General features: G+C 48.6%; 1 protein-coding gene across 1 annotated transcript in view, besides 5 other annotated features; it reads right to left on the bottom strand.

Annotated features, from left to right (window-relative positions):
* Positions 1-20,538, bottom strand: part of CFAP251 (cilia and flagella associated protein 251) — an 85,328-nt gene that overhangs the window by 7,969 nt on the left and 56,821 nt on the right. The window contains exon 19 of the mRNA NM_144668.6: positions 20,266-20,409. Coding sequence (NP_653269.3) covers positions 20,266-20,409 — 144 coding nt within the window. The remainder of the gene's footprint in view (positions 1-20,265; positions 20,410-20,538) is intronic.
* Positions 634-928: a silencer, noted in NCBI's record as "tiled region #10891; K562 Repressive non-DNase unmatched - State 22:ReprW". NCBI's record gives its function as "represses a minimal TATA promoter and a strong SV40 promoter by Sharpr-MPRA in K562 cells {active_cell/tissue: K562}" and the evidence as "EXISTENCE:reporter gene assay evidence [ECO:0000049][PMID:27701403]".
* Positions 3,685-3,784: an enhancer, noted in NCBI's record as "active region_7195". NCBI's record gives its function as "activates an Ori minimal core promoter by ATAC-STARR-seq in GM12878 lymphoblastoid cells {active_cell/tissue: GM12878}" and the evidence as "EXISTENCE:reporter gene assay evidence [ECO:0000049][PMID:35858748]".
* Positions 4,867-4,916: an enhancer, noted in NCBI's record as "active region_7194". NCBI's record gives its function as "activates an Ori minimal core promoter by ATAC-STARR-seq in GM12878 lymphoblastoid cells {active_cell/tissue: GM12878}" and the evidence as "EXISTENCE:reporter gene assay evidence [ECO:0000049][PMID:35858748]".
* Positions 15,296-15,345: an enhancer, noted in NCBI's record as "active region_7193". NCBI's record gives its function as "activates an Ori minimal core promoter by ATAC-STARR-seq in GM12878 lymphoblastoid cells {active_cell/tissue: GM12878}" and the evidence as "EXISTENCE:reporter gene assay evidence [ECO:0000049][PMID:35858748]".
* Positions 15,366-15,445: an enhancer, noted in NCBI's record as "active region_7192". NCBI's record gives its function as "activates an Ori minimal core promoter by ATAC-STARR-seq in GM12878 lymphoblastoid cells {active_cell/tissue: GM12878}" and the evidence as "EXISTENCE:reporter gene assay evidence [ECO:0000049][PMID:35858748]".

Here is a 20,538-nt window from a genome sequence, read left to right as displayed (position 1 = left end):
CACTTCCTTCCTATTTTTTCTATGCATATAAAATACACATGCATATTTTTTACAAAACTGGTATCATATGTATAATTTTACATCCTGCTTTTTTCCTTTAACGCTGTATCTAAGTAATCACCTAGTAGTTTCAGAGATGCCACATATTCTCAATGCAACATTCCAGGTCAGGCATGGTGGCTCATGCCTATAATCCCAGCACTTTGGGAGGCCAGGGTGGGAGGATGGCTTGAGCTCAGGAGTTTGAGACCAGCCTGGGCAACATAATGAGACCTCATCTCCACTAAAATCTAAAAACAGGTGTGGTGGCAGTCCTAGCTACTGGGGGGCTCATGCAGGAGGATGGCTTGAGCCCAGAAAGCCAAGGCTGCAGTGAGCCCTGATTGTGCCACTGCACTCCAGCTTGGGCCAGAGTGAGAACCTGTCTCAAAAAAAAAAGGCAAGATTCCAGGAATGTTGAAATAACATTATTGGTTACAGATACAAATTAACTGTAATTGATACATAATTGATATTATAAAAGTAGCTGTAAATGGTAACACTGTTTCATATACAGCATTTACTGAGTTTATACTATGTACAATTGCTTGTTAAATCATGTATAATTTTATGTAGGAAAAAACACTATCCAGTAGCAATTATTTGCATATTGCACTATATAATTTTGACAGTATTACTACATAGGAATGCTACTATTTACCATGAGGCAGTAGAGGTTGGGGCTAAAAGAGCAATCTTTGATGATAGACCTAGGTTCAAACTCTGGCTCTGCCATTTTCTGTCTATATGACCTTGAGTGAGTTACTCACATTCCTTCTCCTCAGTTTCCTCATCTTGAAAAAGCAGGGAATACAGTAATACGTATGCATTGGGCTTTTCTGAAGCTTATTGAGACTATGTACGTAAAGTGCTTAACATAATGCCTAACACATAGCAAGCATTCAACAGACAGTAATTATTCTTGTGATTATTATTTTTTTTTTAATTTATTTTTTTATTGATAATTCTTGGGTGTTTCTCACAGAGGGGGATTTGGCAGGGTCATGGGACAATAGTGGAGGGAAGGTCAGCAGATAAACAAGTGAACAAAGGTCTCTGGTTTTCCTAGGCAGAGGACCCTGCGGCCTTCCGCAGTGTTTGTGTCCCTGATTACTTGAGATTAGGGATTGGTGATGACTCTTAACGAGCATGCTGCCTTCAAGCATCTGTTTAACAAAGCACATCTTGCACCGCCCTTAATCCATTTAACCCTGAGTGGACACAGCACATGTTTCAGAGAGCACAGGGTTGGGGGTAAGGTCACAGATCAACAGGATCCCAAGGCAGAGGAATTTTTCTTAGTGCAGAACAAAATGAAAAGTCTCCCATGTCTACTTCTTTCTACACAGACACGGCAACCATCCGATTTCTCAATCTTTTCCCCACCTTTCCCGCCTTTCTATTCCACAAAGCCGCCATTGTCATCCTGGCCCGTTCTCAATGAGCTGTTGGGCACACGTCCCAGACGGGGTGGTGGCCGGGCAGAGGGGCTCCTCACTTCCCAGTAGGGGCGGCCGGGCAGAGGCGCCCCTCACCTCCCGGACGGGGCGGCTGGCCGGGCAGGGGGGCTGACCCCCCCCACCTCCCTCCCGGACGGGGCGGCTGGCCGAGCGGGGGGGCTGACCCCCCCACCTCCCTCCCGGACGGGGCGGCTGGCCGGGCAGAGGGGCTCCTCACTTCCCAGTAGGGGCGGCCGGGCAGAGGCGCCCCTCACCTCCCGGACGGGGCGGCTGGCCGGGCGGGGGGGCTGACCCCCCCCACCTCCCTCCCGGACGGGGCGGCTGGCCGGGCAGAGGGGCTCCTCACTTCCCAGTAGGGGCCGCCGGGCAGAGGCGCCCCTCACCTCCCGGATGGGGCGGCTGGCCAGGCGGGGGGGCTGACCCCCCCCCCACCTCCCTCCCGGACGGGGCGGCTGGCCGGGCGGGGGGCTGACCCCCCCACCTCCCTCCCGGACGGGGTGCTGGCCGGGCAGAGGGGCTCCTCACTTCCCAGTAGGGGCGGCCGGGCAGAGGCGCCCCTCACCTCCCGGACGGGGCGGCTGGCCGGGCGGGGGGGCTGACCCCCCCCACCTCCCTCCCGGACGGGGCGGCTGGCCGGGCGGGGGGCTGACCCCCCCACCTCCCTCCCGGACGGGGTGCTGGCCGGGCAGAGGGGCTCCTCACTTCTCAGACGGGGTGGTTGCCAGGCAGAGGGTCTCCTCACTTCTCAGACGGGGCGGCCGGGCAGAGACGCTCCTCACCTCCCAGACGGGGTCTCGGCCGGGCAGAGGCACTCCTCACATCCCAGATGGGGCGGCGGGGCAGAGGCGCTCCCCACATCTCAGACGATGGGCGGCCGGGCAGAGACGCTCCTCACTTCCTAGATGTGATGGCGGCTGGGAAGAGGCGCTCCTCACTTCCTAGATGGGATGGCGGCCGGGTGGAGACGCTCCTCACTTTCCAGACTGGGCAGCCAGGCAGAGGGGCTCCTCACATCCCCGACGATGGGCGGCCAGGCAGAGACACTCCTCACTTCCCAGACGGGGTGGCGGCCGGGCAGAGGCTGCAATCTCGGCACTTTGGGAGGCCAAGGCAGGCGGCTGGGAGGTGTAGGTTGTAGTGAGCCGAGATCACGCCACTGCACTCCAGCCTGGGCACCATTGAGCACTGAGTGAACGAGACTCCGTCTGCAATCCCGGCACCTCGGGAGGCCGAGGTTGGCGGATCACTCGCGGTTAGGGGCTGGAGACCGGCCCGGCCAACACAGCGAAACCCGGTCTCCACCAAAACCAGTCAGGCGTGGCGGCGCGTGCCTGCAATCGCAGGCACTCGGCAGGCTGAGGCAGGAGAATCAGGCAGGGAGGTTGCAGTGAGCCGAGATGGCAGCAGTACAGTCCAGCTTCGGCTCCGCATGAGAGGGAGACCGTGGGGAGAGGGAGAGGGAGAGGGAGACGGAGAGGGAGAGGGAGTGGGAGAGGGAGAGGGAGAGCTCTTGTGATTATATTTTTCTATGCACTTGCTAATTACAATACATGTAATCATAACATAAGATAAATTATAATTTGGCTGGGTGGGGTGGCTTACGCCTGTAATCCCAGCACTTTAGGAGGCTGGAGTGGGTAGATCGTTTTAGGAGCTTGAGACAGCCTGGGCTGTGAAATCCTGTCTCTACAAAAAAGACAACAAATTAGCTTGGCGTGGTGGCGCATGTGCCTGTAGTCCCAGCTACTTGGGAGGCTGAGATGGGAGGATCACCTGAGCCCGGGAGGTGGAGGCTGCACTGAGCCGTGATTGTGCCACTGCACTCCAGCCTGGGCAACAGGAGTGAGGAGTAAGACCCTGTCTGAAAAAGAAAAAAAAAAGAAATAATATATATAAATATATATAAATTACCAATGTAATATATGATTTAACTCAGTTCAGAACAGGAGACTAAGACGACAAAAGGAATTCATAAGGGCCTGAGTTACTCATACCCAGAGAGTTCCAAAGAGCTCAGCAAACATTCACAGCACAAACCACTCAGCATGTGATTCACCTCTTACTCTCTCTTCCCGTATGACTGATCAAGAATCACTACTCAACAAGCACGGAGTTGGCAGCTTCGGCATCACTGACATTTCCTTCCTGAGCCGACTTCGCAAGTGTTCGTTGAAAAGGCAGGTTCTGCTACTTGTCTGAACAAAGTTCATGCTTGGGAGAGGAACCTCGGAGCTGGAAATAGAACGCAGAGCTTGTTCTGAACGCCCCCGTGTGAAGATGGCTTGAGAGAAGCAGGAGTCCTAGCTGAGCGGCCCAGACGCACTGGTGGTTGTCAGTCAGCCTGGCCTTTGATTGGCATTCTCACGCCTGCTAAGGCGGGGCTTTATTCCATTCACCTGGAGAGCTTAAACAGTTCTGAGGCCCAGATCCTATTCCCTGAGAACCTGATTTTTTTTTTTAGATGATAGTCTCACTCTGTCGCCCAGGCAGGAGTCCAGTGGCGTGATCTCGGATCACAGCAACCTCCACCTCCTGAGTCCAACCAATTCTCCTGCCTCAGCCTCCCAAGTAGCTGGGACTACAGGCGCGCGCCACCACAGCTGGCTAATTTTTGTATTTTTAGTAGCAACAGGGTTCCTACTGTTGGCCAGGCTGGTCTCAAACTCTTGACTTCAAGTGATCTGCCTGCCTCGGCCTCCCAAATTGCTGGGATTACAGGAATGAGCCACCACAACCAGCTGAGATCCTGATTTAATTGGTCTGGGGACCAAATTTTTGGAAGCTTCTCATTCGAATGATTTGAATGCGTAGCCAAGCTTGAGAAACATGGCTGGAAGGCAAAGGCTCGCTGACATGTCAGGCTTCACAATGACCGGGAGGTCTTGTTCAAACAGACTGCTGGTCCCACCTGGGGGGTTTCTGAGTCTGGGATAGGGTCTGACCATTTGCATTTCTTGTAAGTCCCTAGGTCACGTGAAGTCAATCCTGTTGGTCTGGGGACCACACTTTGAATACTGCTGCTCTTAGACCACAGGGGTTCACGGAGGTGATACTGGTGCCAAAATGAATCAGCCCCAAGCTTGTGACTTTCAGTAGAGAGTAATAATGGGTGGCAGCTGCGGTGCACGCTCTAATTCTTTGGGCTCACATCTGTTTTCCCCATTAAGCTGTAGCCAGAGCTTTCATCTCTATTTCCCCGGCAGCTTAGTTCAGAGCCTGGCACATTATAGAGGCTCAGAGAAATGTTTACTGAATGGATAGATAGATGGATGAATGGATGAATGAATGAATGATGAAGTAAATAATGTGGACACAAGTGAGGCCACAAAAAGAATTCTCTTGAAACTCACAAGAAGCTTAGAATAATCATTTAGTGCCCTAGTTAATTTTACTCGATTTACTAGTAGTTACTGAGCATTTGGTTTAGTGCAAAGCCAATGAAATACAAGTCTCTCAATTATTACTAGAACAGTTCTGCATTCTGGTTTTCAATCTTAGTCACTGGGGTCAGCAAATATTTATTCAGTGTCTATTAAGGTCTGGGCCATGTGAAGAGATGCTCAAGAGACGATATACACAAGGAAAGCGAACTAACAGGCTCCATCGCCAAGGTCCTCAGCCCTGGCTGCCTGGGGCTTTAAAAACTGTCCATGCTTAGACTCCACCCCTAGGTTCTGTTGCACAAGGCTGGGGCCCAGGTGTAAAAATCAGGTGTAAAAATACTGATGTATTTTTTTAAGTGCCCTCAACTGATTTTAAAAGGTTGGCTACCGTGGCTCTAGAAGATTCAGTGCCAAGATGCAGGAGAACATCATCAAAGGTTGGAGGAGCTCTCAGCCAGGTGGGCTTCGGGAAGGCTTCCTGGAAGAGGTGGGCCTACTGCAGAGCCATGAAGGGTTTGGCCAGTAGGAGGTCAGAGGAAGACACTGTATGCTGGGAAACAAGCATGAGGAGGAGGGTGCAGAGGAGGTGCCCACCCCGAGCCCATGCACCCAATTCTAGACCACACTCTGGGTACCTGAACCCGAGGCTTCTCTCCCCTACATAACCTAAGCCCACTTCCGGGGCCCATGGGGATCTCACCCTCCTGAGGCCAACCTGTGCCCCTGGTGTTGCCCACCCATAGGCCTGAAGGGTGCCCCGGGGCTGCTGTTTGGAGAGTATAGAGAAGGGTCCACCTCCTGAATGCCATGCACACAGTGGCCAGGGATGGGGTCAGAGCTGGGAGGACACATGGGGCAGGCCCAGCTTGGCTTGGCCCTGCATGCTGCCCATTCGGGTGTGAACTTTGAATCAGCTCATGTTGAAGGTTGAACTGTCAAGGGGGAATATTTATTTATCAGCTTGTTGCTTGATTGGTAACTTTTAAACATTTAGACATACAGCATCTGGGCCTCTGTTGCCCCGACTGCTCCAGGCCCCAAGACATGAGGGTGGCCTCTTGGTGGTGGGCTGGAGTCCCCTCACCCGAGAGCATCTTATTTCTGCCTCTGTCATTGATGACGCAGGCCTTTGGGTCTGTGATCCCTGCTGTCAGCCTCAGGAAGCCATTGATGTCCTTAGAATTATGTTCTATAATTAAGTTTTACAACCTCCCTATTAAATGGAGAGGAACACGATATATTTGAACTGGGGCCATTCCTTGTTTTTATAAGCAGGCTCCTGGTGGGGGCAGGTTTGCTTTTCTAATGGTTTCATGGACCAGTAGGACTGGGAGCACTCACCCTCTTCCCCACGCCCTCTTCCCAACGCACAATACCCTCTAGAACATTCTCAACTAATGGGGCACAGTGTCTTGTTCCCACTCATCATCTTCACTCATACCCTCCCCTGGTCACCCCCTGCATCTCCTCGCTGACCCGGGGCAGGGAGTAGTGGGCTGAGGAGGGGGCGTAAGGGCTGGGCAGCGTCACTGCATGGCCACATCTGGAGACCCCTGTGAGCGCCCCCTCTGCGATTCATGCAACACTGTGACCCCAACTGCTCCATACCTCCCTCCAGGAACTAGATCTGGATGGCGACTGCCTCTTTTTCCAGGAGTGGGGCATGCATGCACAGTTCTGCCCTCTGGACGCAGTCTCAGGTGACAGCAGCCAAGGCCTGGCCTGGTGCTCTTGCCCACTGTCTTCTACTCCATGTGAACAACACCCATTCACAGGGCCCTTTAGAGTGACTGTCACCCTGCCCTGCATCAGAGCCCAGGTCTCAAACACCTCCAGGGACTCTTCCCTTCCCAGTGAATGTTTTCAAAGGTCTGAAAGAGACAGTCCTAGCTGAATGACAAGTCTTGCACCTTGTACCAAACCCACAATCAAGGATTTGCTAATTCTGTGTCCACAGCTCTCTAAAATCCTGATCCTGCCTCATGCACCCTAAAGCCCCAGATGGTTCCTAGCTCAAGTGAAGAAGTGATGTGGGCCGGGCACCGTGGCTCACATCTGGGATCCCAGCACTTTGGGAGGCCAAGTTGGGTGGATCATTTGAGGTCAGGAGTTCAAGACCAGCCTGGCCAACATGGTGAAACCCCATCTCTACTAAAAATACAAAAATTAGCTGGGCGTGGGGGCGGGCACCTGTAGTCCCAGGTACTCGGGAGGCTGAGGTGGGAGAATCACTTGAACTTGGGAGGCAGAGGCTGCAGTGAGCCGAGATCGCGCCATTGCACTCCAGCCAGAGGGAGATTTCATCTCAAAAAAAAAAAAAAGAGAAAAAAAAGAAAAAAAAATCCAACAACAACAAAAAACTTGCACACGAATGTTCACAGCAGCCTTATCCATAATAGCCAAGAAAATGGGAAAACGTAAATGTCCATCTGTTCGTGAATGGATACATAAAATGTGGCATATCTACATGAACGAATAGAATGTTACTCAATCATAAAGAAAAGAATGAAGGACTGAGACAAGCTACAACCTGGATGAACCTGGAAAACATGATGCTGAGTGAGTGAAAGAAGCTGGACCCAAAAGACCACATATTTCATGACTCCATTTATATGAAATGCCAAGATAGGCCAATCCATAGAGACAGAAAGCACATCGGTGGTTGAAGGAGAAATGGGAAGTGAGTGCTCATGGGTCTGGGGTTTCTTTTTGGGATGATAAACATGTTCTAGGATTACGTGGTGGTGATGTCTGCACTACTCGGTGGACATTCTAAAAACCAATGAACTGCATCCTCTAAACAGGTGAATTACGTGGTATGTGGTATATCTCAATAAAGTTTTTTTTAAGAAAAGAAAATAAATAATATGGAGAAGCCATGGCAATGGCAAGTAACAACATTTCGATTCTAAGAACATTAATTTAATATTTTTGAAATATTTTTAAAAATATTTAAAAATATTTAAAATATTTTTAAAATATATCTTCCACCATCATTGTGATCTACCCTTTTATATCATAAAACCAGTCAAGAGTGAAACATGCTTGTTATGAAAAATTCTAACAATGGAGATATAAAGAAAAATAATAATAAAATGCCCTGAAATTCCCCGTCCTGCAGCAATAACCAGTGTTGGATGCCAGAATTTTTAGGGTTTTCTTCCTTCTTTGTACCAACTCATACATACGTAGGAACAGAACCTGGAGTTGGGGGTCAGCCAGCTTGGTTCAAACCCTGGCTGTGCCCTCGGTAGCTAAGTGACTATACAATCTTTCTTCTCTCTCTAGGCCTCACTTTCCCAGAATGGTATTATGCATTACTATTACCTGTATTCTTTTTTTTTTTTTTTTTTGAGACGGAGTCTCGCTTTTCTTGCCCAGGCTGGAGTGCAATGGTGCCATCTTAGCTCACTGCAACCTCCGCCTCCCGGGTTCAAGCGATTCTCCTGCCTCAGCCTCCCGAGTAGCTGGGATTACAGGTGTGCGCCACCATGCCTGGCTAATTTTTGTATTTTTAGTAGAGACAGGGCTTCACCATGTTGGCCAGGGTGGTCTCGAACTCCTGACCTCAGGTGATGCGCCCACCTCAGCCTCCCAAACTGCTGGGATTACGGGTATGAACCACCAGGCCTGGACTCTATCGCCTGCATTCTTTTTAATGGCTGCATAGTAATCCAAGATTTATTTCTTTAAATGCTTTACATGTGAAAAGCAGAAATAGTTTTGTCTTGCTCTGATCTTTCTGCAGGAAGCCCACCTCTCGCTGGGCAGGGGCCTGGCCACGGACTCTCTGTTGGCCAGGAAGGCCTCCCCTAGAACACTGGGCCACTTCTATTACCTTCAGGATGGAAATGCCTGCTGATATTTACGTTTCAGGGCAAGACCCAACATACTGAGGGCTTCTCTTCAAAGTGCAAATTTCCAAATTCCCTCGGGGTCTTTATCAGAACAGAAATTGTCCCTGTGCTTCTTGGCTCAAATTACCCCCCTCGTTATGGGTGAGGCTGAACCACTTGGCTACAGACCTCCATCCCAGCTGGGACCCTGCTTTAGCCATGAAGATTAGCACACAGGGCTTTGGGGGGATTTGCTTGTTTATCTTTCTCGTTTTTGTTCTGAATACAAAAGCAACACAAGCTGCATGTTTATAGTTAGGAGAACTTAAATAGTACAGAAATGTATGTCCGAGGTCTCCCCAAATTTATAGCCACAACTGTCTCCTAAGGAGGGCAGATGCCACTGAATGAAACGGCCTTTTATTTATAGAACCCCTAGATGGGCTTTTTTTTTTTTTTCTTTTTCTTTGAGACAGAGTCTCACTGTGTTGCCCATACTGGAGAGCAATGGTGCAATCATGGCTCACTGCAGCCTTGACCTCTGGGCTCATGTGATCCTCCCACCTCAGCCTCCTGAGTAGCTGGGACTTCAGGCGTGAGCCACTACATCCAGCAATTAAAAAAAAAAAAATTCGGCTGGGCGCGGTGGCTCACATCTGTAATCCCAGCACTTTGGGAGGCCGAGGTGGGAGGATCACGAGGTCAGTGATCCTCTGATCACTGTAGAGACGGTGAAACCCCGTCTCTACTAAAAATACAAAAAAAAAATTAGCCAGGCGTGGTGGCGGGTGCCTGTAGTCCCAGCTACTCAGGAGGCTGAGGCAGGAGAATGGTGTGAACCCAGGAGGCGGAGCTTGCAGTGAGCTGAGATCGTGCCACTGCGCTGCAGCCTGGGTGACAGAGGGAGACTCGGTCTCCAAAAAAAAAAAAAAAAAATTCGTGGCCAGCCATGGTGGCTCATGCCTATAATCCCAGCACTTTGGGAGGCCAAGGTGGGAGGATCATCTGAGGTGAGGAGTTCGAGACCAGCCTGGCCAACATGGCGAAACCCCATCTCTACTAAAGATACAAAAAATTAGCTGGGCATGGTGGCACTGCGGGTAATTCCAGCTACTCGGGAGGCTGAGACAGAAGAATTGCTTGAATCCAGGAGGTGGAGGTTGCAGTGAGCCGAGATCACGCCATTGCCTACCAGCCTGGGCAAAACAGCAAGACTCTCTCAAAAAAATAATAATAATTTGTAGAGACAAGGTCTCACTACGCTGCTCAGGCTGGTCTTGAATTCCCAAGGACAAGCGGTCCTTCCACTTTGGCCTCATAAAGTGCTGGGAATACAGGTGAAGAGACACAGTACCAGGCCAATCTCACTTGTAGGTGTGCCTTATTTTATTAATCTCATCTCCTATCAATGGATATCAGTGTTGTTTTGATTTTCAACACAATAGACTATGTGACAACAATTGTCCCTTCAGGTCAAGTACAGGTTTGGAGGGCCTGTAGTCCCAGCAACTAGGAAGGCTAAAGCAAGAGGCTTGCCTAAGCCCAGGAGTTTGAGACCAGCCTGGGCAACGTAGTGAGACTCCATCTCAATATTTATATATATTATATATTTAAAATTATTCCTTCCATATGTACATCATTATAAACTTGGGTGAGTTTTTCTGTAGGATACACTCCCTTTTTTTTTTTTTTTTTTTGAGATGGAGTCTTGCTCTGTCGCCCAGGCTGGAGAGTATGGTGGCACCATTTCAGCTCACTGCAACCTCTGCCTCCTGGGTTCAAGCGATTCTCCTGCCTCACCCTCTGGAGTTGCTGGGATTACAGGCATGCACCACCATGCCCAGCTAATTTTTGTATTTTTAGTAGAGACGGGGTTTGGCCATGTTGGCCAAACTGGTCTCGAACTCCTGACCTCAGGTGATCCTCCCACCTCGGCCTCCCAAAGTGCTGGGATTACAGGCGTGAGCCTCCGCGCCTGGCCAGGATACACTCTTAAAAGTACATTTGTTGAGTCAAAAGATATATACATTTTTAAAGTTAAGCAAAAAATAAATAGCAAATAAAATAAAAAGTTAAGTGACTATTTAATTCCTTTCTAAATGCTCCTAAGCTATGCCCAAGCTCCTGAATATATCAAACACATTAGGGTTACTAAGAATTACACTGAGATCAAATAATAATGTCAGGGATTGTGTCTTCCTCACTGTCTCTGCTGTCGAATATGACCAATGAGCATCATTGATTCATTCACTCATTCCATCAACATTTGCCAAGCGTCCACCATGTGGGCACTTGCTGGGCACATACGTCTCTACAGGATTAGACTTAAGTTTACAGAACTAGGTGGTTGCACCAATGTTAATTCCCTGCCCAAACCTGTCAAGATTATACAACACTCTGCAAGCTAAAAAGAAGTGAAGTTGCAAGTAAGCAGGAAACGAATGATATGCTGGGCCCCATCCCAACGTGGACAGTCCAACATCCTGGAGGAAAAGACACATTTATAAAGATAGAGGATGGAACTGCCTTGTATGTGAAATCATCTGTAGAAACGATGACACCTAAGCTATGGTTCCTTTGATAACATTATACATGCTGCAGATCTTTCATTTAAAAATGATTTCTAGGCCGGGCGCCGTGGCTCACACCTTGTAATCCCAGCACTTTGGGAGGCCAAGGCAGGCGGATCAGGAGGTCAGGAGATTGAGACCTTCCTGGCTAACACCGTGAAACCCCGTTTCTACTGAAAATACAAAAAATTAGCTGGGTGTGGTGGTGGGCGCCTGTAGTCTCAGATACTCGGGAGGCTGAGGCAGGAGAATCGCTTGAACCTGGGAGGCAGAGGTTGCAGTGAGTGCAGTGAGCTGAAATTGAGCCACTGCACTCCAGCCTGGGAGACAGACTTAGTCTCAAAAAATAAATAAATAAATAAATAAATAATGATTTCTAGGAGCAGCCCACCATGACCACTTTGGCTGTGTTTTGCTCCTGAGCACAGCTTTCTGCGAAAGAAGGGAATGGCTAGGAATTCTTTGGGGAGGGTTATATTCTTGTGTAATTTGGCTTCAGTGTACCACACTAACTAGCTTCAAATCCCCAAGACAGTTGTAATGACGTAAGAAAGATATCAATAATGTATAGTCTTTGGGCCGCTGGTTTAAACCCTGCATCTGCGTCTTTTCTGTAACCAAGTGTGAACACACTCCAGTAGTGAGGCGTATACTCCATGCAACTTCCTGAAGGAGGGGGAGCGGCTACATCTCAGTAGGAAATGTTTCATTAACCACGGTAAAGCCTGGGTTAGTTTCAAAGCCCTGAAAAGATTTTTTTTAATCACTATAAATCTGACTTGAAAACAAAAGGTCAGAAACTTCTCCCGGTGTAGCTTCAGATATAAACTAACTCATCAGCTAATCAAGTCTGCTCACTGATGTGGGGCACACCTGGAGCCTTCAGAAAACATCTCCAAAGAGGAAACGTTTTTTTTTTTTTAAAGTAGATAAAAAGCCCTGTAATCCAAGGGTGAGCGGGGCCCTCACTGAGTGCGGCACCGAAACTCTCCTTTTGGGAAGTGGTGGGGTCAGCCGGGAGAACATACAACATCCAGTGCAAACCTTACAACCTCCGTTTTTATTTCTGTCTTTATGTTTTTAAGTAATTGTCAATGTTTGTTACTTTGTAACATTTGTTACCAACTAACATTTTTTTCCGGATACCTTTTCTTCATCAGCAAGATTTTGATAAGTTGTTTAAGCTTTATTATTTTTTGCCAATGATAGAACAAATGAGTACATCTTTAATAATTAGACACTTCCTTACCTTTTTTTTTTTTTTTTGGAGAGCTATGGTGCCCAGGCTGGAGGACAGTAGCTATTCACAGGCATGATCATAGCATGCTGCAGCCTACAGCACCTGGGATCAAGCAATCCTCCTGCCTCAGCCTCCAGGGTAGCTGGGACTCCGGTTGCACACCACTATCCCCAACTAATTTTTTTTTGAGACAGGGCCTCACTCTGCTGTCCAGTCTGGAGTGCAATGGCACAATCACAGCTCACTACAGTCTTGATCTCCTGTGCGCAAGCGATCCTTCGATCCTTCCCACCTCAGCCCTCCAAGTATCTGGGACTACAAGTGCACGCCACCACACCCAGCTAATTGTTTATTAGCAGAGACGGGTCTCCTTATGTTGCCCAGACTGGTCTTGAACTCCTAGGCTCAAGCAATCCCTCTGCCTTGGCCTCCCAAAATGCTGGGATTGTGAGCCACTGTGCCTAGCCCAATTTTTAAAATTTTTTAGAGATCGGGGTCTCGCTATGTTGCCTAGGTTGGTCTGGAACTCTTGGCCTCAAGTGATCCTCCTGCCTCAGCCTCTCAAGCAGCCGGGACTCCAGGCATATGCAGGACTTCCTTATTTCTATAGGAAGCAGAGACAAGCGGGTTGCTCTGTGCCCACCCTCTTTCTCAAGTATTTTGTGCGACACGTGGGCACTGGTTGCCAGGGCTAAACACCTCACCAACAAAGCAGGACAGCCCAGGGATTAAACTCAAGAATCCTGGCTGGGCACAGTGGCTCACACCTGTAATCCCAGCACTTTGGGAGGCCGAGGTGAGTGGATCACATGAAGTCGGGAGTTTGAGACCAGCCTGACCAACATGGAGAAACCCCGTCTCTACTAAAAATACAAAATTAGCCAGGCAAGATGGCGCATGCCTATCATCCTAGCTACTCAGGAGGCTGAGGCAGGAGAATTGCTTGAACCCGAGAGGTGGAGGTGCGGTGAACTGAGATGGCGCCATTGCACTCCAGCCTGGGCAACAAGAGTGAAACTCCGTCTCAAAAAAAAAAAAAAATCAAGAATCCTGAATGATGTGGTGATGTGCGCCTATAATATCAGCTACTAGAGAGGCTGGGGCAGAGGGATCACTTGAGCCCAGGAAGTCGAGGCTGCAGTGAGCTGTGATCACACCACTGCACTCCAGCCTGGGCGACAGAGTGAGACACTGCCTCTTAAAAAAAAAAAAATCCTGAACAAGTGAGAAGACTGCCATCAATTTGATGGCGTTTGGACATTTATGTAAAGTATCTTTACCAGAAAATCAAGAAAATATAAACTTTTAGATTTTGGAAAGGGTATTATACACAAAGAAGCACAAGGTCAGAGAAACATTCTCATAAAGGGCTTCTGGAATCACGGATCCACAGATGGGGATATCATGACAAAGACAAAAATATCAGATGACATTTTTAAACATTTAACGTGTGCCGTGTACTGTACGAAACGGATACTCAGTTAATCTTCACAATAATTCTGGAGGTAGGTACTACTATTATGTTTATTTTGTAGATGAGGAAACTGAGGCATGGAGAGGTTCTGAAACTTGACCAAGTCGTAACTGGCACGTGGTCACAGTCAGGATTCAAACCCAGAGCTGCCTGACCCTGGAGCCTCCACAATGTGGCCTCCATGGTTAGCACTGACCTGCAGGCATCAGAGAGCTGCCGGAATACTCCTCACCCACAGGAACTGCGAGAGGCACGGCCCACGATGGCATTTTGGTGACTTTCATAGAAGTGTGAACCTCAGGTGCCTGCAGGCCTTGTGAAGGAGAACCTCTCCCTGGCTGAGGAAGGGGCACCTGGGTTTGAAAGGCCTCCTTGTGAGGCAAGGGTGCCTGGAACTTGCTTCAGAATAACCCATGGGGCGGGAGCAGGTCAGTGGGTCTGGACCAAACGGGAGCTGAGAATTGCTGAAGCTGAAGTTGACTGATGGATATGCAGGAGTGTGGGGTGTGTGTGTGCAGTGGCGTGATCACGGCTCACTGCATCCTTGACCTCACAGGCCCAAGCAATTCTCCCACCTCAGCCTCCCGAGAAGCTGGGACCATAGGCACATGCCACTACAGCTATTTTTTTTTTATTTTTTGTAGAGACAGGGTCTCCCTATATTGCCTAGGTTGGTCTTGAACTCCTGGGCTTACTAAAGCGATCCTCCTGCCTCAGCCTCCCAAAGTGCTAGGACTACAGGTGTGAGCCACCGTGACTGGCCAAGAGTTCATTTTATTCTTTTCTCTGTTTTTGTGTTTGCTTGGAATTTTACAAAATAAAATTAAAAATAAGAAAATGAGGGGCGATCCCATCGCCTCTTAAGAGGAACATGCTGACTCAACAGGAAATACTGAGGGAAGAGCCCCCCACTGAGTAAGCACCTCTGTGCGCTGGGCACCGCACAGACCCTCGCTCTCTAGTCCTCACGACACCCCTACGAGAGCGCAGCCTGCTCCAGCCTCATCTACAGAGCAGACTCCGGCGTTCAGACCACCGCTGGGATGGCTCGCCAAGGAGGCTGGGAACTGCAGCCAGGCCAGCTAGTTTGCACCAAGATGTGCTTCTTCCCTTTCTCCATCTTGAAGTACCAAGTGTTAGGCCAACCAATCACCCAGAGGAGGTGGGTATTTGGTTAAACGTTGGACTAAAAACAGAAGAAGCAGAACCACAGACAGAACCATGCAGATGAAGTGCAGCGGCCGTGGGAACAGTGAGACATCTGAGGCAACATTTCTAATGTAAAATGAGAAGGAAATGAGGTCAGGGAGCGGTGGCTCATGCCTAGAATCCCAGCACTGTGGGAGGCTAAGGAGGGTGGATGGCTCGAGCTCAGGAGTTTGAGACCCGTCTGGCCAACATGGAGAAACCCCATCTCTACCAAAATTGAAAAATTAGCAGAGCATGGTGGCACGCTCCTGTAGTCCCAGCTACTTGGAGGGCTGAGGCTGGAGGACCAGGTGACACAGTGAGACCCTGTCTCCAAAAAAAAAAAAAAAAAGAAGGAAGTGAGAATGAAGAGGGGCCCACTTTTTGCCTTGCTCAGAATTCCGTGGAAGCCACGCCACCTGCTCAGAGTGGTCCTGGGTGCGACTGCTGCACTCATTTTGTAGATGAGGAAGCTGAAGCATGAAGAGGCTGAGACACCTGCCCACGTCTTAGCTGTCATCTGGTCATAGTCCCCATGGTTAAAGGGGACTGAGCCCACCCCACACTCCAAGAAGGAGAGTGCCCACGCCTGGCCAACCTGAGTGGCACATGCCTGATGGCAGTGATGACAGTGACAATGTCTGCAGCTCTGGGAAGGGGACAGGCTCCTGCCTGTGGCATTGAATCCCACTGGATGTGGACTGGGGGCCGGACACGGAGGGAGACAACACAGCAGAAAGCGAGGCCTAAAGAGAGAGACCCTTCCCAGCGACATGGATGAGGGCCTGGCTTAGGTTACACTGCACATCCCCACTCCCTCTGGACCTGGAATTCTGTGAACCAGAAAATGGGTCGACTTAGGTTTCCGTAACTTGTAACCAAAGAATAAGGCTGAGGCCGGGCACGGTGGCTCACGCCTGTAATCCCAGCACTTTGAGAGGCTGATGCAGGTGGATCACTTGAGGTCAGGAGTTCGAGACCAGCCTGGCCAACATGGTGAAATCCTGTCTCTACTAAAAAATACAAAAATTAGCCAGGCATGGTGGTGCATGCCTGTAATCCCAGTTACTCGGGAGGCTGAGGCAGGAGAATCGCTTGAACCTGGGAGGCGGAGATTGCAGTAAACTGAGATCACACCACTGCACTCCAGCCTGCGTGACAGAGCAAGATGCTGTCTCAAAAAAAAAAAAAAAAAAAGAAGAAGAAAGCTGACTAATGATCTCACTCAGTGTGTTGAGCCCCTCCCTCTCTTCAAATGTCGGCGGCTCCGCAGTGAGCACCCCCAGGAGATGTAGAGAATCCCAAGCCTGTGCTTGGAGATTCCGATTGGCTGGACCTGGGCAGGGCCCAGGAGCTGAATAGTCAGTAAATGCTCCGATGCAGCTTCCCAGTTTGGGAAGCCATGTTCTAGGGAACACTCTTTGGAAAATGCCACTCTCTGGAACACCACGTGGGCTGTACGAACTTTCTCAGAGTTGCTTATGTTTCTAGCAATGTGCTATGACAAAATGCACATCAGCCAAAGACCTTTAGAGGAGCTTACAACAGTACCTGGTGATTTTAAGGTCCTCGTTCAAGACTCAGAAGGGATTAAAGGGCTCTGATAACTAATTTCTCGAGAAATGAGTTTTGTGTACCTGGAGCACACAAAACAGGTGATTCTGGGTAGGCCACTGAAGCCGAGAGCAGGGACTGGGACCACAGTTTATATTGCTCAAGTGTTCTCAGCCAACATGAACACTGAGTCTTAGCTGGGTTTCAGGACTTGTGGATTCCTGAAGATGGGCACGTAAAATGCTACATTTATGGAAAGTAGGTTAGCAATAGGGTCTGCAATTTCATATTCTCTGACCCAGTAATTCTACTTCTTGCACTATGACCCAGGAAAATAATGAGAGAAGTGTGCAAAAACCATGCACAGAGATGCTCCACACAGCTGTGTCTCTGACACCAGCTACTTTAGACAACTCACACGGCTATCAACTGGAGAGTGGTCCAATTAAGTTTGCAGCCTTTAAAAGCATGTTGCCAAGGAATTTTTACCACCTTGCTCACAAAACAAGTTACTGAGAATGTCGATACATATGTATATGCACACGCATCCTCTGTATAATGTTGATATATATAGGTATATACATATATATACCATATAATCTCAATTCCTTGTTTAAAAATATAGATATATCTATGTCCATATATAAAATGATAGGATATCTACCAAAATAATAACAGTGATGATCTCTGAGTAATTTCTATTTTCTTCTTTATAATTCTATTTTCTAAATTAGAAAAAGTTAAAAAATTAAAATATATCCTTTAAAAAGCATGTTTTCGGATAATTTTTTTTTTTTTTTTTTTTTTTTTTTTGAGACAGAGTCTTGCTCTGTCGCCCAGGCTGGAGTGCAGTGGCACGATCTCGGCTCACTGTAAGCTCCGCCTCCCGGGTTCACGCCATTCTCCTGCCTCAGCCTCCTGAGTAGCTGGGACTATAGGCACCCGCCACCACGCTCGGCTTATTTTTTGTATTTTTTTAGTAGAGACGGGGTTTCACCGTGTTAGCCAGGATGGTCTCGATCTCCTGACCTCGTGATCCACCCGCCTCGGCCTCCCAAAGTGCTGGGATTACAGGCGTGAGCCACCGCGCCCGGCCTTGGAGAATTTTTAATATAATGGAAAATACTTATGATACACTATTAAGGGAAAATATAGCATACAAACACATATTCCATGTGGTATCAATTAGTTTTTTTGTTTGTTTTTATTTTATTTTATTTTTATTTATTTATTTATTTTTATTTTTCTGAGATGGAGTCTCGCTCTGTCACCCAGGCTGGAGTGCAGTGGCGCAATCTCGGCTCACTACAAGCTCCGCCTCCCGGGTTCACGCCATTCTCCTCCCTCAGCCTCCTGAATAGCTGGGACTACAGGCGCCCACCACCACGCCCGGCTAATTTTTTTTTTGTATTTTTCATAGAGATGGGGTTTCACCGTGTTAGCCAGGATGGTCTCGATCTTCTGACCTCGTGATCCGCCCGCCTTGGCCTCCCAAAGTGCTGGGATTACAGGTCTGAGCCACCACACCCGGCCAGTTTTTTATTTTTTGAGGAGAGTTTCGCTCTGTCGCCCAGGCTGGAGTGCTGTGGTGTGATCTTGGCTCACTGCAACCTCCGCCTCCTGGGTTCAAGCGATTCTCTTGCCTCAGCCTCCCAAGTAGCTGGGACTACAGGCGTGCGCCACCATGCCCAGCTAATTTTTGTATTTTTTAGTAGAGACAGGGCTTCACCATGTTAGCCAGGCTGGTCTCAAACTCTTGACCTCAGGTGATCCACCCACCTAAGCCTCCCAAAGTGCTGGGATTACAGGCGTGAGCCACTGCGCCAAGGCCAATTAGTTTTTTAAAACTATATACATCTATACAGTCACACTGCACTTAATAATATTGCAATGACAGATTGCATATATGATGGTGGTTCCATACGGTCATAATACTATATTTTTACTGTACCTTTTCTTCATTTAGATATGCTTAGATACACAAATACCACTGTGTTACCACTGACTACAATATGCAGTACAGCCGCATGCTGTTCAGGTTTATAGCCTAGGAGCAACAGGCTCTACCATACGGCCCAGGCGTGTAGTAGGCTCTGCCATCTGTGTTTGTATAAGGACACTCTATGATGTTCACACAATAACGATGTTGCTTAATGACACAGTTCTCAGAACATCTCCCCAACATTAAATGATGCATGATTATATATATGATTATATAAATATGTATAAAACAGGAAAATATTAATAAAAGTCAGAAGAAATACAATAAATTGTACTTTATTTATTTATTAATTTTTTTGAGACAGGGTCTCGCTCTGTCTCCCAGGCTGGAGTGCAGTGGCACAATCACGGGCACTGAAGCCTCCACCTCTGGGGCTCAAGTGATCCTCCTGCCATGGCCTCCTGAGCAGCTGGGACCACAAGCATGGGCCACCACACCGGGCAATTTTTTGGGGGGGATGGGTATAGATAGGATCTCTCTATGTTACCCTGGCTGCTCTCAAACTCCTGGGCTCAAGTGATCCTCCCCAACTTGGCATCCCAAAGTGTTTGGATTATAGGCGTGAGCTGCCACAACCGGCTTACCTGCACTTTAAACAACAGTTTACATGAGGAACATTTCCCTGAGATGCTTCTTGACTCTGCTTGGGGCTTCTTGCATCTAGGGGTGCTTCTGCAGCACGGTCATGAGGGACGGCTGCACCCTCCGTGCTCCACAGTCCAGACAAGCACCCAGCTTCCAAAGGTGCCCCATTAACACCTGCTAGGTTAAGAGCAACTAGACAGCGAGACTAACAAGGATAATAACTCCCTCCATTCACTGAGCTCTTCCTGTGCACCCAGCACCGTGCCCAGGGCTGCGTAGGCATCAATCCCCTCCTCAAATCCTATAAGGCTGGCCGGGAGTGGTCGCTCATGCCTGTAATGACAGCACTTTGGGAGGCCGAGGCGGGCAGATCACTTGAGGTCAGGAGTTTGAGACCAGTCTGACCAACATCGTGAAGCCTCGTCTCTACTAAAAATACAAAAATTAGCGGGGCGTGGTGGTGGGTGTCTGTAATCCCAGCTACTCGGAAGGCTGAGCCAGGAGAACCGCTTGAACCTAGGAGGTGGAGGTTGCAGTGAGCCAAAATTGTGCCACTGCAGTCCAACCTGCGTGACAGAGGGAGACTCCACCTCAAAAAAAAAAAAAAAGAAAAAAATCCTACGAGGCTGGTCCTCACCTAGCAAGGGTCAGGGCTGAGACGGCAGCCCCAGTCCGTCCAATTCAACACCATGGTTGCAAGACCCATGCTCCAACCAACATCAAACTTCCATGAGGAGTGCGCCTTTCAGAAACAGCATATCTCTACCATAAGGCAGTTACTCAGGAGTGCATCTGAAATGCCCAGAACCATCTTTCTGATCCATTTATGCAAGAAAAATGTGCAATTTTTGCTTTGACCTATAATGATTGTTCCCAGAGGTTGTTTTTTATAAATAGCACATCCCGTTGCTGCTCTTGTTTTCGTTCTCCCTACCTTCTCTTCAGATGGGTAAAAGCCAATTGCTCTCATGACAAAAGGAAGCTCTGACAGGCAAATGTGTTCTGACACCTTTCTGGTCTCCATTGTGTCGATGCCTTGACTGCGGAGCTGAGAATAGTAGAAGTAGTCTTCTAGCTCCTATGTAGGAATACAACGGAAACACAACACACATTTAGGCTTAAGTCTGAAGCATCCATGAACACTTCAAGGACATTTTCTAGAAAGTACCTTTTAAGCTGAATGGGGGAACAAAGCTTTGGAATAAAG

The sequence above is a fragment of the Homo sapiens genome, chromosome 12, assembly GCF_000001405.40.
Source record: "Homo sapiens chromosome 12, GRCh38.p14 Primary Assembly".
In the NCBI taxonomy this organism is placed as follows: Eukaryota; Metazoa; Chordata; class Mammalia; order Primates; family Hominidae; genus Homo; species Homo sapiens.
This window is presented reverse-complemented; position numbering and strand designations above follow the sequence as displayed.